Source organism: Homo sapiens, chromosome 11, assembly GCF_000001405.40.
Source record: "Homo sapiens chromosome 11, GRCh38.p14 Primary Assembly".
In the NCBI taxonomy this organism is placed as follows: domain Eukaryota; kingdom Metazoa; phylum Chordata; class Mammalia; order Primates; family Hominidae; genus Homo; species Homo sapiens.
Genome location: NC_000011.10, coordinates 29,061,626 through 29,081,373, shown reverse-complemented (window position 1 = coordinate 29,081,373; position 19,748 = coordinate 29,061,626). Strand labels below are relative to the sequence as shown.

The window sequence follows — 19,748 nt, the reverse complement described above, 5'->3', positions numbered from 1 at the left end:
TTCAAAATCATTGTTGCTTTAAACATTTTATTTGTGTATATATAGATATATGTTTTGCTTCTATATTTACTTTTACCAGCACTCTTCACTTACTATACTACTATGTTCCTGTGTGGGATTAGTTTTATTCTGCCTTAAGTATTTCCTTTAATAATTCCTTTATTATGAATCTGTCAGTCAAAAACCTAGTTTTGTGGGGTTTTCTTGGTAGGAGCAGGCAAGGATGGCCATTTTACCTTCATTTTCAAAAATATTTCCACTATATATTTAATATTAGCATATTACAAGTATTCTTTACTTTAGTACTATAAAAATGCCATTATCTTATCTTCTGACTTCCACTGTTTATAGTGAAAAGTTACACATGAGTTTTAGTGTTTTGAAGCTAGAGTATCTTCTATCTCTGGATGCTCTTTTCTTGCCTTTGGTTTTCACCAGTTTTACTATGACGGACCTAAGCATGGTTATTCATTGAAGTTTTTCTGTTTTGGTTAGCAAACTTCTTGAATCTCTGAGTTGAAATATCTCATTAGTTAGTATCATTATCTTCTTGATATTGCTTCTGACCCACTTACTGTTTATTTCTTCCTTACTGAGACTCAAATTACATTTAAGTTAAAACTTTTTACTGGGATCTACATAAGTTTTACTCTCATTTTTCTAATTTGTATCTTTTTTTCTCATGTATGTTCCAAGCTGGGTTTTTCTTTTTACCAACATAACTCCCAGTTCACTAATTATTTGTTCTATAAATGTGCTAAATCTATCCAATTCTTAATTTCAGTTATTCTGCTTTTCAATTTCATTACCTTTAGATTTATTTTTAATATATTCAATTTCTCTGATAAAATTCTTTCCCATATATTCTCTCAAACATATTTATTACAATTATTTTACATTATTTTGTTTCTATTTCTCTTATTTCCTTTTTAAAAAACTTTGATTTTAAGTTCAGGGATATAAGTGTGTCATGGGGTTTGTTGTACAGATTATTCCAACTCCCAAGTAAGCATAGTACCCACTATTTTTCCTGATCTGCTCCCTCCTCCTACCCACATATTAATCATAATTATTTTATTATATTTCTATTTATTTTATTTTTCTTTTTTTAAACTTTTAAGTTCTGGGGTACAAGTGCTGGTTTGTGACATAGGTAAACGTGTCACAGGTGTTTGTTGTACAGATTATTTCATCATCCAGGTAAGCCTGCTACCCATTAATTATTTTTCCTGATCCTCTCCCTCCTCCTACCCTCTATCCTTTGAAAGGCCCCAGTGCATGTTGTTCTCCTTTATGTGTCCATGTGTTCTCATTATTTAGCGCCCACTTATAAGTGAGAACAGTCAGTATTTGGTTTTCTGTTTCTGTATTAGTTTGCTAATAATAATGGCCCCAGCTCCATCCATGTCCCTGCAAAGGACATGATCTTGTTTTCTTTTTTTGTGGCTACATAGTATTCCATGGTGTATATGTTCCACATTTTCTTTATTCAGTCTATCATTGATGGGCACTTACGTTGATACAGTGTCTTTGCTATTGTAATTGCAGTTAAAGTCTGTAGATGATGTATTAGTCTGTTTTCATGCAGCTGATAAAGACACACCTGAGACTGGGAAGAAAAAGAGGTTTAATTGGACTTAGAGTTCTACATGGCTGAGGTGGTCTCAGAATCATAGCAGGAGGTGAAAAGTGGATTTTATGTGGTGGCAGAAAGGAAAAATGAGGGAAAATCAAAAGCAGAAACCCCTGATAAACCCATCAGATCTCGTAAGACTTATTCACTAGCACAAGAATAGCACAGGAAAGACAGGCCACCATGATTCAATTACCTCACCTGGAGTCCCTCTCACAACACATGGGAATTCTGGGAGATAAAATTCAAGATGAGATTTGGGTGGGGACACAGAGCCAAACTATGTCATTCTGCCCCTGGCCCCTCCAAATCTCATGTCTTCACATTTCAAAACCAATCATGCCTTTCCAACAGTCCCCCAGAGTTGTAACTCATTTTAGCATTAACCCAAAAGTCCACAGTCCAAAGTCTCATCTGAGACAAGGCAAGTCACTTCTGCCTATGAGCCTGTAAAATCAAAAGCAAGCTAGTTACTTCCTAGGTACAGTGGGGGTACTGGTATTAGGTAAATACAGCCATTCCAAATGGGAGAAATTGGCCAAAACAAAGGGGTTACAGGGCCCATGCAAGTTCAAACTCCAGCAGGGCAGTCAAATTTTAAAGCTCCAAAATGATCTCCTTTGACTCCAAGTCTCACATCCAGGTCACAATGATGCAAGAGGTAGGTTCTCATGGTCTTGGGCAGCTCTTCCCCTGAGGCTTTGCAGAGTACAGCCTCCCTCCTGGCTGCTTTCATGAGCTGGTGTTAAGTGTGGCTTTTCCAGGTGCATGGTGAAAGCCGTCAGTGGATCTTCCATTCTGGGGGTCTGGAGAATGGTGGCTTTCTCCTCACAGCTTCACTGGGCAGTGCCCCAGTAGGGACTCTGTGTGGGGCTCTGACCCCACATTTCCCTTCTGCACTGCCCTAGCAGAGATTCTCCATGAGGGCTCTGCCCCTGCAGCAAACTTTTGCCTGAGCATCCAGGTGTTTCCATATATCTTCTGAAATCTAGGTGGAGATTACCAAACCTCAATTCTTGACTTCCATGCACCCACACACTCAATGCCACATGGAAGCTTGGGGCTTCCACCCTCTGAAGCCACAGCCTTAGCTGTACCTTTGACCCTTTCAGTTATGGCTAGAAAAGCTGGGACACAGAGCACCAAGTCCCTAGGCTGCACACAGCACAGGGGACCCTTGGCCAGGCCCACAAAACCACTTTTTCCTCCTGGGCCTCCAGGGCTGTGATGGGAGGGGCTACCATGAAGGTCTCTGACATGGCCTGGAGATATTCTCCCCATGGTCTTGGGGATTAATATTAGGCACCTTGCTACTTATGCAAATTTCTGCAGCTGGCTTGAATTTCTCCCCAGGAAATGGGTTTTTCTTTTCTATCACAGAGTCAGGCTGCAAATTTTCCAAACTTTTATGTTCTGCTTCCCTTATAAAACTAAATGCCTTTAACAGCACCCAAGTTACATCTTGAATGCTTTGCTGCTTTGAAATGTCTTCAGCCAGATACCCTAAATCATCTCTCTCAAGCGCTCAAAGTTCCACAAATCTCTAAGGCAGGGGCAAAATGCCACCAGTCTCTTTGATAAAACATAGCAAGAGTTGTCTTTGCTCCAGTTCCCAGCAAGTTCCTTATCTCCATCTGAGACCACCTCAACCTGAATTTTATTGTCCATATCTCTATCAGCCATTTTTGGGGCAAAGCCATTCAACAAATTTCTAGGAATTTCCAAACTTTGCCAGATTTTTCTGTCTCCTTCTGAGTCCTTCAAACTGTTCCAACCTCTGCTTGTTACCCAGTTCCAAAGTTGCTTCCACATTTTCAGGTGTCTTTTCAGCAACGTCCCACTCTACTGGTACCAATTTTCTGTATTAGTCTGTTTCAACACTACTGATAAAGACATACCTGAGACTGGGAAGAAAAAGAGGTTTAACTGGACTTACAGTTCCATATGCCTGGGGAGGCCTCAGAATCATGGTGGGAGGTGAAAAGCACTCCTTACATAGTGGTGGCAAGAGAAAATGAGGAAGAAGCAAAAGCAGAAATCCCAGATAAACCCATCAAATCTCATGAGACCTATTCAATATCATGAGAATAGCATGGGAAAGACAGAGCCCCATGATTAAATTACCTTCCCTTGGGTCCCTCCCACAACATGTGGGAATTCTTGGAGATACAATTCAAGTTGAGATTTGGGTGGGACATAGCCAAACTATATCAGATAACACAAATATTTGGATTAATTATAGAAGTTAAAATTTTTAATTTAGTTTTTAGCAACATAGATCTATTTTTATTATTCCCGTCAATTGTTATTGAATTTTAGAAATTTATATGAAAAATATCAAGGGTATACATGATGTAGTAAACTAATTTTCTTCCGGTAGCATGAAGACAATGGGCAGCATGATCTTAACCAGTCTATTTCCAATATACCATTACTTCTAAGTCTTTTTTTTCTTGGGTTCATAACTGGAAAGCCTTCCATATATACCAGGACCTTTTTCCTGGGTAGGCTTTCAACTCAAATTTTTTGTCTCTCTAGCACAATAAAACTGCTAAAATATCTGCTTATTTTTAAATTATTGGTTAACTATTTTCAGTAGCTGAGCATCTTGCCCTGCCCATGTTGAACTTAGGAAACAAACAAATGCCTCAAGAAGAAATTGCATCAGAGATTGCAGCTCTGGACAGAACAGCAGGAGGGGGCTCACATTGTGAATTTTACCTCCAGATCAACTGCAAGAACAAATCAGCAATCCTGAGAGGACCCACAGACCCTCTGAAGGAAGTGGACTGCTCCTTCAGGACCCAGGAGACCCTACCAAAATGGCGAGTGCCCCAATGGCAGAAGTGGGAAAGGGAGACCCTCCTCTCCAGAATATACACCCCCACTAGAGAAGCTGACCATCTGTTTGCAGGAGAAGTTTCCAACTTTACTTGGAACTGAGTCAATTCAGAGAGCTGAGCAAAATACAGGGGTAGAGGAGGCAGCAGAATTCCCTGGGAGCTCACTGGGTCCTGTAGCAGGCCATTCCTGCCTGCCACCACAGGGATACAACAGGAGAGGAGCAGGGAGTAAAACTACACAGGGAGAAGGAAATCTCTAGCTGAACTTCATAAAAGTTTTAACCGGGTGAGAAACCTCCTGGCCAGATCTCAGGGGAGGGTGCGATTCTGGTGTGCAGACTCCACAGATTGGGTAAGAACCAAGCCCTTTTCTTTTGCAGCTGGGAGGTGGGTAGCCTGGGGCAGGTTTTCAAGCCCATCTCACTCTCCACCTGGAAATAGACTGGGGTCTGTTGGCGGGTGGGGGGGCAGGCACAGTGGGAGTGAGACTGGCCCTTTGGTTTGCATGGGAGCTGGGTGAGGCCTATGACTGCCAGCTTTCCACTACTTCCTTGATAACCTGCATGACTCCGCAGAGGCAGTCATAATCCTCCTAGGTACGCAACTCCAGTGACCTGGGAATCTCACTCCCATCCCCTACAGTTGCCACAGCAAGACCCACCCAAGGAGAGTCTCAGCTCAGACACGCCTAGCTCTGCCCTCACCTGATGTTCCTTCCCTACACATCCTGGTAGCAGAAGACAAAGGGTATATAATCTTGGGAGTTCTAGAGACCTGCCCACCACCAGTTCCTTCCCATACTACCAAAGGTGATGCTCTCTGGAAAGCACCACCTCCTGGCAGGAGGCCAACCAGCACAAAAAATAGGGCATTAAACCACCAAAGCTAAGAACCCCCATGTAGCCCACTGCACCCCCCTGCCACACCACTGGAACAGGTGCTGGTATCCATGGCTGAGAGACCCACAGATAGTTCACATCACAGAGCACTGTGACAACCCACAGCACCAGCCCGGAGCCGGGAGACCCAGAAGAGAGACAACAACCATTGCAGTTTGGCTCACAGGAACTCACATCCATAGGAAAAGGGGGAGAGTACTACATCAAGGGAACATCCCATGGGACAAAAGAAACAGAATAACAGCCTTGAGCCCTAGACCTTCCCTCTGACACAGCCTACCCAAATAAGAAGGAACCAGACAAATGACCCTGGTAACGTGACAAAACAAGGCTCATCAACACCCCCCAAAAATCACACTGGTTCATCAGCAATGAATCCAAAATAAGAAGAAATCCCAGATTTGCCTGAAAAAGAATTCATGAGGTTAGTTATTAAGCTAATCAGGGAGGGACCAGAGAAAGGCATAGCCCAATACAAGGAAACCCAAAATATGATACAAGAAGTGAAGGAAAAAATATTCAAGGAAATAGAAAGCTTACAGGAAAAAAAAAACACTCTAAAATTCAGGAAACGTTGGACACACTTTTAGAAATGCAAAATGCTCTGGAAATTCTCAGCAATAGAATTGAACAAGTAGAAGAAAGAAATTCAGAGCTTACAGAGAAGGTCTTCAAATTAACCCAATCCAACAAAGACAAAGAAAAAAGAATAAGAAAGTATGAACAAGCCTCCAAGAAGTCTAGGATTATGTTAAATGACAAAACCTAAGAATAACCAGTGTTCCTGAGGAAGAAGAGAATTCTAAAAACATATGTGGGAGAATAATTGAGGAAAACTTCAATGGCCTTGCCAGAGACCTTGACATCCCAATACAAGAAGCATAAAAAACACCTGGGAAATTAATTGCAAAAAGATCTTCACCTAGGCACATTGTCACCAGGTTGTCCAAAGTTAAGACGAAGGAAAGAATCTTAAGTGCTGTGAGACAGAGCACCAAGTAACCAATACGGGAAAACCTATCAGATTAACAGCAGATTTCTCAGCAGAAACCCTACAAGCTAGAAAGGATTGGGGCCCTATCTTTAGCCTCCTCAACAACACAATTATAAGTCAAGAATTTTGTAACCAGCAAAACTAAGCATCATGTATGAAGGAAAGATACAGCCTTTTTCAGACAAACAAATGCTGAGAGAATTCACCATTACTAAGCCACCACTATGAGAACTGCAAAAAGAGCTCTAAATCTTAAAACAAATCCTGGTACCACATCAAAACAAGACTTCTTTAAAGCATACATCACACAGGACCTATACAACAAAAATACAAGTTAAATAGCAAAAACCAAACAAAAAAACAAAGTACACAGGCAACAAAGAGCACGATGAATGCAATGGTACCTCACATTTCAATACTAACATTGAATGTAAATGACCTAAATGCTCCACTTAAAAGATACAGAACTGCAAAATGGATAAGAACTCACCAACCAACTGTCTGCTGCCTTCAGGAGACTCACCTAGCACATACAGACTCACATAAACTTAAAGGGATGAAAACAGGAATTTCATGCAAATAAACACCAAAAGCAAGCAGGGGTAGCTATTTTTATATCAGACAAAACAAACTTTAAAGCAACAGCAGTTAAAAGAGACAAAGAGGGACATTATATAATGTTAAAAGGCCTTGTCTGACAGGAAAATATCACAATACTAAACATATATACACCTAAAACTGGAGGTCCCAAATTTATTAAACAATTACTAATAGACCTAAGAAATGAGATAGACAGCAGCACAATAATAGTGGAGGACTTCAGTACTCCACTGAAAGCACTAGAAAGAGACACAATGATAGTGAGGGACTTCAATACTCCACTGACAGCACTAGATAGGTCAAGACAGAAAGTCAACAAAGAAACAATGGATTTAAACTATACCTTGGAACAAATGGACTTAACAGATATGTACAGAACATTTCATCCAACAACCACAGAGTACACATTCTATTCAACAGCACAGAGAACTTTCTCCAAGATAGACCATATAATAGGCCATAAAACAAGCCTCAATAAGTATAAGAAAATTGAAATTATATCAAGGACTCTCTAAGACCACAGTGGCATAAAACTGGAAATCAACTCCAAAAGGAACCTTCAAAACCATGAAAATACACAGGGAAATTAAATAGCTTGCTCCTGAACGAGCACTAGATCAAAAACAAAATCAAGATGGAAATTAAAAAATTCTTCTAACTGAACAATAATGATGCAACCTATCAAAACATCTGGGATACAGCAAAGGCGGTGCTAAGAGAAAAGTTCATTGCCCTAAATGCCTACATTAAAAAGACTGAAAGAGCACAAACAGACACTCTAAGGTCACACCTCAAGGAACTAGAGGTAACAAGAACAAACCAAACTCAAACCCAGCAGAAAAAAGGAAATAACCAAGATCAGAGCAGAACTAAATAAAATTGAAAAAAACAAAAATACAAAAGATAAATGAAACAAAAAGCTGATTATTTGAAAAGATAAATAAAATTGTTAGAACATTAGCAAGATTAACCAAGAAAAGAAGAGAGAGAGAAAATCCAAATAACCTCACTAAGAAACAAAACAGGAGATATTATAACTGACACCACTGAAATAAAAAGATCATTCAAGGCTACTATGAACACGTTTATACATATAAACTAGAAAAACTAGAAGAGATGGATAAATTCCTGGAAAAAATACTGCCCTTCTAGTTTAAGTTAGGAAGAATTAGATACCCTGAACAGACCAATAACAAGCAGCAAGGTCGAAATGGTAATTAAAAATTACCAACAACAAAATGTCCAGGACCACAGGGATTCACAGCAGAATTCTACCAGACATTTAAAGAAGAATTGGAACCAATCCTTTTGACACAATTCCACAAGATAGAGAAAGAAGGAACCTTCCCTAATTCATTCTATGAAGCCAGCACCACTCTAATACCAAAACTAGGAAAGGGCAAAATCACAAAACAAAACTACAGATTGATATCTTTGATGAACATAGATGCCAAAATCCTTAGCAACATACTAGCTAACCAAATCCTGCAATATATCAAAAAGATAACCCACCATGATCAAATAGTTTTCATACCAGGGATGCAGGGATGGTTTAACATATGCAAATCCATAAATATGATACACCACATAAACAGGAATAAAAAACAAAAAATCACATGATCATTTCAAAAGATGCAGCAAAATTATTCAACAAAATCCAGCATCTCTTTATGAATAAAACTCTCAGCAAAATTGTCATACAAGGGGCATACCTTAATGTAATAAAAGCCATCTATGACAAATCCACAGCCAACATAACACTGAATGAGGAAAGGTTGAAAGCATTCCCTCGGAGAATGGGAATAAGACAAAGATGCCCCTTCTCATCACTCCTCTTCAACATAGTACTGGAAGTTGTAGCCAGAGCAATCAGACAAGAGAAAGAAATAAAGAACATCTAAATCGGTAAAGAGGAAGTCAAACTGTCACTATTTGGTGATGATATATTCGTTTACCTTGAAAATCCTAAAGACTCCTCCAGAAAGCTCCTACCTACCCAAGGAGTTGAAAGACCCCTACAAGGAAAACTACCAAGCATTGCTGAAAGAAATCATAGATGACAAGAACAAATGGAAACATCCCATGCTCATGGATGGGTAGAAACAATATTGTAAAAATGACCATACTGCCAAAAGCAGTCTACAAATTCAACGCAATACCCATCAAAATACCACCATTATTCTTCACAGAATTAGAAAATGCAATTCTAAAATTCATATGGAACCAAAAAAGAACCCACATAGCCAAAACAAGACTAAGCAAAAGGAACAAATCTGGAGGCATCACACTACCTGATTTCAAACTATACTATAAAGTCCTAGGCACCCAAACAGCATGGTACTGGTACAAAAATAGGCACATAGACCAATGGAACAGATTAGAGAACCCAGAACACAGCCAACTGATTTTTGACAAAGCAAACAAAAACATAAAGTGGGGAAAGGACACCCTTTTCAACAAATGCTGCTGGGATAATTGGCTAGCCACATGTAGGAGAATGAAACTTGATCCTCATCTCTCACCTTATACAAAAATCAACTCAAGATGGATTAAGGACTTCAACCTAACACCTGAAACTATAACAATTCTAGAAGATAACATTGGAAAAACTCTTGTAGACATTGACTTAGGCAAGGAATTCATGACCAAGAACCCAAAAGCAAATGCAATAAAAACAAACATAAATAGCTGGGACCTAATTAAACTAAAGAGCTTATGCATGGCAAAAGGAACAGTCAGCAGAGTAAACAGACAACCCACAGAATGGGAGAAAATCTTCAGAATCTATACATCTGACAAAAGACTAATATCCAGAATCTACAACAAACTCAAAGAAAGCAGTAAGAAAAAAAAAATCTCATTAAAAAGTGGACTAAGGACATCAATAGACAATTCTCAAAAGAAGATATACAAATGGCCAACAAACATGAAAAAAAATGTTTTTTTCCCTGATCACCAATGGTCAGGGAAATGCAAATCAAAACCACAATATAATACCACCTCACTGCTTGTAAGAATGGCCATAATCAAAAAACAGTAGATGTTGGTGTGGATGCAGTGAACAGGGAACACTTCTATGCTGCTGGTGGAAATGTAAACTAGTACAGCCACTATGGAAAATAGTGTGGAGATTCCTTAAAGAACTAAAAGTAGAACTACCATTCAATCAAGCAATCCCACTACTGGGTATCTACCCAGAGGAAAAGAAGTCATTATTCAAAAAAGATACTTGCACACGCATGTTTATAGCAAAACAATTCACAATTGCAAAATTGTGGAACCAACCCAAATGCCCATCAATCAATGAGTGGATAAAGAAACTGTAGTATATACATACGATGAACTACTACACAGCCATAAAAATAAATTAACAGCATTTGAAGTGACCTGGATGAGAATAGAGACTCGGGAATGGAAAACCAAACATCGTGTGTTCTCACTGATATGGGGAGCCAAGCTATGAGGACGCAAAGTCATAAGAATGATACAATGGGCTTTGAGGACTTGGGGGAAAGAGTGGGAGGGAGGTGAGGGATAAAAAACTACAAATATGGTGCGCGGGTGATGGATGCATCAAAATCTCACAAATCACCACTAAAGAATTTACTCATGTAACCAAATACCACCTGTACCCCAATGACTTATGGAAAAATTTTAAAAAAGAAAAATAAATTTCATTAAAATTCATAGATTACTTATTTGTGTTTCTCTTTTTTTGGTCCTTCAAGTTATAAATGCTTTAGCAGCCTTAAATTCAAATTTTAGTTTCACTTGTTCAGTGAAACCACTGCAGTATCTGGATCACTATTTTCTGTTCGGCCTCTATTTATCACTATTAAAAACAAATTCCCTGAGGAGAAAATTTTGGCATAAATACATAGTTGCTCACAATGTGTTTACATTATCTCTGACTGTATCTGGCATTGTGATTCCTCAAGCCCTAGCTATAGTCTGCTCTCCAATATATTCAAACATATGCTTTTTCCCTTAAACTTTATCCAGTTTTGATAGTTGTTCTTAGAATGAAGGATAGCTTAATATTACCTACCTCACTATAACAGGAATAGAAAATAATCATGCAAACAGTTAATTATGAAGGTGAGATTCAAACGAGTGGTTTGATTTTGTTTGTTTGGTTACACATATATATGTGTATACATACATATGTATGTGTGTATGTGTGTATATATACATATGTGTGTTTATATACATATGTGTGTTTATATATACTCATATATAATGTATGTATATGTGTATATACATACGTTCGTATATATGTGTATACACACATGTATGCATGTACATGCACATGTATATATACACATATGCACATGCATATGTGTGTATACACATATATATACATACATACACATGTATAAACACACACACAAATGTAAATATATACACACAATCATAAATTGAGCTATTTACATTAAGAATGTTTATTCTTTCATAAGACTTGATAATGGAGATTTGTTATAAACAAAACTGTCAATTGTTAAGTAAACAAAAAGGTTCAGAGAGTGTGCTCACCTTAAACACACATACAGTACAGTCTTCTTCACACTAAGCCTCCATATACAATTATTTTTTTTCTTTGTTCATCTCTGGACAGTATTTATTTTTCTTTCCAACTTTTATTTTAGATTCAAGGGATATATGTACAGGTTTATTTCATGGGTAAATTAAGTGACCTGGGGGGTGGTGTACAGATTATTTAGTCGCACAGATAATCAGCATAATACCCAATAGGAAGTTTTTCAATCCTCAGCCTCCTTCCATCTTCCACCCTCCAATAGGTCCCAGTGTCTATTAGTCCCCTCTTTGTGTCCATGTGCATCTTGTCCATGTTTAGCTCCCACTTATAAGTGAGAATATGCAGTATTTGGTTTTCTGTTCACACATTAATTGTCTTAGGATTATGGCCTCCAGCTCCATCCATGATGCTGCAAAAAACATGATCTCATTTTTTATAGCTGCATGGTATTTTATGGTGCATACGTACTTTTTCTTTATCCAGTCTACCACTGATGGACATTTACATTGATTCAACATCTTTGCTGTGATGAACATATGATGGCATGTGTCTTCATGGTAGAACAATTTATATTCCTTTGTGTATATACTCAATAATGGGATTTCTGGGTTGAATGGTAATTCTGCTTAAGTTCTTCAAGAAATCTCCACACTGGTTTCCACAATGACTGAATTAATTTAGATTCTGATTAGTAGTGTATAAGTGTTCCCTTTTGTTTGTGACCTTGAAAACATCTACTTTTGGACTTTTTAATAATAACAATTTTGACTGGTATGAGATGCTATCTCATTGTGGTTTTAATTTGCATTTTCCTAATAATTTGTGATATTGAGCATTTTTTCATGTGCTTATTGGCCACACGTATGTCTTCTTTTAAGAACTGTCTGTTGATATCTTTTGCCCATTTTAATGGGGTTGTTTGGTTTTTGCTTATAGATTTATTTGAATTTCTTACGGATTCTGAGTATTAGACCTTTGTTGAGTGCATTCTTTGCAGATATTTTCTCCCATTCTGTAGGGTGTTTGTTTACTCCACCGATAGTTTATTTTGCTGTGCAGAAGTTCTTTGGTTTAATTAGGTCCCACTAGCTAATTTTTGTTTTTGTTGCAATTGGGTTTGGAGTCTTCCTCATGATGTCTTTGCCTGGGCTGATGTCCAGAATGATATTTCCTAATTTTCCTCTAGGGCCTTTATACTTTTAGATTTTCCATTTAGGTCATTGTTCTGTCTTGAGTTGATTTTTGTATATGGTGAATGGTAGAGGTTCAGTTTCAATCTTCTGCATATGGCAGGACAGTTATCCCAGCAGCATCTATTGAATAGGGAGTCCTTTCCCCATTCCTTGTTTTTGTCAGCTTTGTTGAAGATCAGATGGTTGTAGGTATGTGGCTTGATTTCTGGATTCTCTAACCTGTTCTATTGGTCTATGTGTCTTTTTTTGTACCAATACCATGCTGTGGACTTGTAGTATATTTTGAAGTTGGGCAGTGTGATGCCTCCAGCTTTTTTTCTTTTTGCTTAGGATTCTTTTGGCTATTTGGCCTCTTTTTTTGGTTTCAAATGAATTTTAGAATTTGTTTTCTAATTCTCTAAAATATGTGGTTGGTAGTTTGTTAGAAATAGCTTTCAATCTGTAAATAGCTTTGGGAAGTATGGCCATTTGAACAATATTGATTCTTCCTATCCATGAGCATGAAATGTTTTTCCATTTATCTGTGTTGTCTCTGATTACTTTCAGCAGTATATTGTAATTTTCACTGTAGAAATTTCTCACCTCCTTTATTTAGCTCTATTTCTAGGTATTTTATTCTTTTGTGGATATCGTGAATGGGATTGCAATTTTTATTTGGCTCTCAGGTTGTATGTTATTTGTGTATAGAAATGCTACTTATTTTTGTACATTAATTTTGTATTCTGAAACTATGCTGAAGTTATTTATCAGATCTAAAAGACTTTAGGCAGATACTATGAAGTTTTCTAGGTATACTTTCATAATGTCTGTGAAGAGAGATAGTTTCACTTCCTTTATTCCTATTTGGATGCCTTTTATTTCTTTCTCTTGCCTGTTTGCTCTGGTTAGGACTTCCAGTAATATGTTGAATTAGAGTGATGAGACTGGGCTTCTATGTCTTGTTCCTGTTCTCAAGCGGAATGCTTCTAGCTTTTTCTCATTCAGTATAATGTTGGCTCTGGGTTTTTGTTAGATGGCTCTTATTATTTTGAGGTATGTATCTTTGATACCCAGTTTGTTGAGGGTTTATAACATGAAGGTATATTGAATTTTATTGAAAGACTTTTCTGCATATATTGAAATGATCATGTGGTTTTTGTTTTTAGTTCTGTCTATATGGTGAATCACATTTATTGATTTGGATATGTTGAACCAACCTTGCATCCCAGGGATAAAGCATACTTATTCATGGTGAATTAGCTTTTTGATATGCTGCTGGATTTGGTTTGCTAGTATTTTATTAAGGATTTTTGCCCCTAACTTCATCAGGGATATTAATCTGAAGTTTCCTTTTTCCGTTGTATCTCTGCCAGGTTTTGGCATCAGAATGATGAAGGACTCATAGAATGAGTGAGGAAGGGTTTCTCCTTGATTTTTTTATTTTTGAATAGTAAAATAGTACTAGGTCTTCTTTATATGTTTGGGAGAATATGGCTATGAATCTATCTGGCCCAGGGCTTTTTTATTTTTTATTTTTGGTTGTTATGTTTTTACTAATTCAGTTTCAGAACTCATTGCTGCTCTGTTCAGGGACTCAATTTCTTCATGGTTTAATCTTCAGAGGTTCTGTGTTTCCAGGAATTTATCCATTTCTTCTAGGTTTTCTAGTTCGTGTGCACAGAGGTGTTCACAATAGTTTCTAAGGGATTTTTGTATTTCCGTGGGATCAGTGGCAAGGCACCCTTTGTATTTCCGATTGTGTTTATTTTGTTTTTCTCCATATTTTTCCTTATTAGCCTAACTAGTAGTCTATCAACCTTCATTGTTTCAAAGAACCAACTTTTGTTTTCATTAATCTCTTCTTTTTTCTCATCTCCATTTCATTCAGTTCAGTTCTGATTTTGGATATTTCTTTTCTTCTGTTACCTTTGGACTTAGTTTGCTCTTCTTTTTCAAGTTCCTTCAAGTGGGATGTTAGGTTGTTAATTTGAGATCCTTCTAGCTATTTGATATGGACATTTAGCACTATAAATTCTCTTAACATTGTTTTAGCTATGTTCCAGAGCTTATTGTATGTTGTATCTTTGTTTTCATTAGTTTCAAAGAATTTCTTGACTTCTACATTAATTTCATTGTTTACCCAAAAGTCAGTCAGGAACAGATTAATTTCCATGTAATTGTATGGTTTTAAGATCTCTTCTTGGTATTTATTTATATTTTTATTGCCTTGTGGTCTGAGAATGTGGTTGGTATAATTTCAGTTTTTTTGAATTTGTTGAGAATTGCCTCATGGCCAAGTGTGTGGTCAGTTTTAAAGAATGTGCCACATGCACCTGAGAAGAATGTATAGTCTGTTTTTTGTTGGGTGGAGTGTTCTGTGGATGCCTATAAGGTTCATTTGGTCAAGTGTCAAGTTTAGATCCCAAATATCTTTGTTAGCATTCTGCCTTGATGATCTGTCCAGCTGTCCATGGAGTGTTGAAGTCTCCTACTATTGGTTACCTAAGTCTCTTCATAAGTGTCTTAGAATTTGTTTTATGAATCTGGGTGCTCCAGTGTTGAGTGCATATATATTTAAAATAGTTAAGTTTTCTTGTTGAATTGAACCCTTTATTATTATGTAATACCCTCATTTGTCCTTTTTGATCATATTTGGAAGTAAAATTTACATCTGTGTGGAGACCCTGTGAGCCTCCATGAACTCTACTTACTATAAGGCCCCCAAAAGACTTGACTTAAATATTTTAGTTTTTGCTCTAAGAGAATAATCAAAAAATCAAAATAATTTTACTATAATTTTTACTATATTCTCACTCCCAGAACATTTTTGTTACTTAAACACTTTTGTCTTCATTAATAATAAATTTCTGTTGAAAGTATAGAGTTCAAATGAGTCTATACATCTGTTAAACCAGTATTTTATCTACATTACATGGAATATTAGTATACATTTACTATTTTTTCTACTGTTTTATTATATCTAAAGTAGAGAATTTATATATTATTAATTAAAAGTACTAAATGGAGTTTTGCTATATTTTAAAATATTATTTTGGAGAAACACTGGTCAAATAAACCTGAATACTGAATAGCTAATAAGCTTTTTCATTCCTCTTTCTGAATAAAAAAATGAACAAACAAAGTATAAACAAGTAGGGATCTAATTGGACAAAGATGGAAGATAGTGGCTAAAATTTATATCAAAAATAGTTGTTAAGCAAATACATTTTGATTTACCATCAAAATGTGAATAAAATGTTTATGGGTAGCTTATCAGTAAACCAACAATTTTAAGAGACTAAATTTCATTTTGTATTCAATTATATCATTTGGGTTTCAAAAATTTTAGATTCATAGAATTCTTCAGCTTGAGAGAATATTGAAGATCATCTAGTCTAGGGTTGGCGTAGGTTGTCACTTTGCATGCCAACTCTGCCTCAGTGAAAAAGAGACCAATGATCCTGAAGCAGCATCTATCATCATCATGGAAGAGAGAAATTGAGGCCTGTATGTAACTTTTTTGTTACACTTAGTCAAAAACATCCCCACTCCCCTTTACACACATAGAAACCTTCAGGTAGACAAGTAAATGTTCAGTAGCCCGACAGTTTGATACTTTCTGGAGGAGCCAGAACTAAAACCCAGTTTTCTCCCATGGTATATTTCCCTTGTGTCCTTTTTGGTCTTTGTTACCTAAAACTTATTTTTAGCTAACCCTTTCTATGAGTGAAATAAAATAATTTTCTGTGAAACATAACTAAATTCCTGGGAACTTGATAATGTTATATACAGTAGCTCTAATTCATTCAGGGCTTATTTTCAAGAATGAAATCATTTTAGCCATGCTTCAAACAGTATAAAAATTTACATCTTTAGTAACAATATTGTTCAAAATAGATAGTATTTGCAAGGAGTAGAAATCCTAATTCATCATATATTTTTAAAATGTAATTAAAATAGCTAAAATAGCTGTATAATGATTTTAGTATCTATTTACCTTTTATTTAAAATATTTCCTATGGAAGCCTTTCTTCATCATTTTAATCTATTGAAATGGATTGAAAATGGCTTTGTTGAATGAACTTCAATCCAGTTATATTTTCCTCAATCTGTCCCCCCGAGTACTTGGCTCATCTTTCTACCCATGGCCTCCCCTAAGGTATGCAAGGACCTACTCCCCGTGAATACATTTGTGCAGTCTCTTTCTACATAAACTAGGGATTGAGGCAGAGTTCCTGTTCATCTTGGACTAAAGGTGATTTTTCTCCTCATTAAGATGATAATTTGCTTTGGGATCTGCAATCATTTAACACTAAATTTTACACACCAAAAAATTTAAAATATACTTTTCATTCTTTTTTGTATCCCCAACATTTGGTACAGTGCCTGGAATACAGCAATCATTTAATTATTTATTAAATACTGTCATGTATGTTTAACAATGGGTTACATTCTGAAAATGTATCATTAGGTGATGTCATGGTTATGCAAACATCGTAGAGTATGCTTACACAAATTTAGAGTATTCTTACACAAACACTGTAGAGTATGCTTATACGAACATCCTAGAGTATGTTTACATCATAGAGTATGCTTGCATATAGTTGTGCAAGCATTGTGGAGTATGCTTACACAAACCTATACACACCTAGGTTATATGGTATAGCCTATTGCTCCTAGGCTACACATCTGTACCCCATATTTCGGTACTGAATACTGTAGGCAATTGTTACACAGTGGTATTTGTGTATCTAAACAAGCATAGAAAGGGTACAGTAAAAATACAGTATAAAAGATAAAAAGTGGTACACTTTTATAAGGCACTTACAATGGATGGAGCTTGCAGGAGTGGAAGTTGCTCTGAGTGAGTCAGTGAGTGAGTGATGAGTGAATGTGAAGGTCTGGGACATTACTGTAGATTTATAAACACTGTACACTTAGGCTACACTAAACTTATATACAAAGATTATTTCTTCATTAATAAATTAATCTTAGCTTATTGTAAGTTTTTATAAACTTTTTAAAAAAACTTTTGGCTCTTTTGCAATAACATTTAGCTTAAAACACACATACATTGTACAGCTGTTCGAAAATATTCTTATGTCCTTAATTCTATATGATTTTTGTATTTTCAAATGTTTTATTTTTATTTTTCTTACTTTTTAAGCTTTTAGTTAAAAACGAAGACACAAACACATGCATTAGCCTAGGCCTATACAGTCTCAGGTTCAGGATCATCCATATCACTGTCTTCCATCTCCTCATCTTGTCCCACTGGTCTTCAGGGAAAATGATACTCATGGAGCTATCATTTTGTATGATAACAATGCCTTCTGGAATATCTCCTGAAAGACCTGCCTGAGGCTGTTTTACAGTTGACTTTTTCTGTAAGTAGAAGGAATATGCTCTGAAATAACAATAAAAATTATAGTATAGTAAACACATAAGCCATAAATCAGGAACAGTCATTTATTATCATCTTCAAGTATTATGGATTGTACATAATTGTATATATTATACTTTTATATGATTGGCAGAGCAGTAGGTTAGGTTAAGCCAGCATCACCACATACACATCCATAATGCACTGCACTATGATATTATGAACCTATGGCATCACTAGGCAATAGAAATTTTCAGCTTTGTTATAATCTTCTGGGGACAATATGATATATGTAGTCTGTCATTGAATCAAACATCATTATACAAAGCATGACCATAAATTGTCTCCAAAATTGATAAAATAAACAAGTATCTCAAAATCCCAGTGACATTATGTCATGTTCCTTCCTTCTGAAAGCCTTTATCAAGCTCCCAGCCAAAAATGTATGTTCTTCCCTGAACACTTTACAATGAGGTTATATGTTTTACTTAATACTGATCTCTTTACTTCATTATAATTATTTATTTCATTGTCTTATTTTTCTCAAAAAGACTGTCATCTTCCTAAGGGCAGGACCTGTGTCTCATAATTTATGTATCTGTCTGCCAATGGTTATGCTCAATATTTGGAGCACAATAAATGCCTGTTGAAAGAATAATTAATCACATGGAGAGGTGTGAATTGGAGATAGTATTTTACTTTCTTCAACAAGGTTGTTATGAAGCTCAAATGAAAGCAAAACACCTGTAAAAGTACTTTGTAATAAGTAAAGTACAATACAATTGAAAGAACCAAGATGATTATGATTTGTTTACTGTATATATGGAACAACATAGAGCTTTAAGGATCTTTGGTGCTACCACCATAACTGCTATTCAGAGGCTACTGAATACTTCTTCCAATTCACCATAATGTGTATTAGACATCATTCATCCATCACGAGTGAAGAAAACTACTTTCTCATGGAAATCATACTTGTAATAGGCTTCAGGATTCTTTAGCTAAAAATATTTATGACAACATTTTGAATTAAACTGAGGATTCATGCAAACGTCTATCCATGAAATATTTCTGAAGGTCTGGTATGAACCAGGCAATGTTAGGTGCTAATAGCTAAGGATATATTGATGAACAAAATAGACATGGTCACTGCCCTGAGGGAGTTTATTTTCCAAAATAACTTATCTTTAACAATATAGCTATAGTTTTATGGTTTTGTAACTGGATCTTTGAAAATTTTTTACAATAGGTACTTTAAGCTCCCTCTTATGAGGATTTGGCGAATCTTAAAAAGAAAAATCCCTTCACAAAGATTTCTGTAATCAAGTTTAACCTTTTTGATCCAACAGAATAATGCCCTTGTTACTCAGGGATATGCCATTAACATTACCTGGTTAGTAAACCTTTTGATTCTTGGTATCAAGAGGTCTAATTAATTTAGATGGCTTGGAATCAGTCGATATGTCTGAATATAGCAGAGACAAGTTGTGCACCTTGTCTACCTACACTCTGAGTCTTAGAACTTTGTCTAACTAAATGAGAACTCTGAAATGTTGTGCCCTAAACTAATAAAAGGAGGACACTGACAACTTCTGTAAAACATGTGGTTGATAAAGCAAGACCAACATCTTTCCATTCTGTCTAATAAGAAATATCTTACCTAGTCATCTGACTCAGCAAATCTAAT

General features: G+C 36.4%; 1 long non-coding RNA gene across 1 annotated transcript in view; it reads right to left on the bottom strand.

Annotated features, from left to right (window-relative positions):
* Nucleotides 1-17,051: 17,051 nt before the first annotated feature.
* LINC02742 (long intergenic non-protein coding RNA 2742) overlaps nt 17,052-19,748 on the bottom strand; it is a 162,086-nt gene continuing 159,389 nt past the window's right edge. The window contains exon 4 of the long non-coding RNA NR_183752.1: nt 17,052-18,085. This is a non-coding gene — a long non-coding RNA (long intergenic non-protein coding RNA 2742). The remainder of the gene's footprint in view (nt 18,086-19,748) is intronic.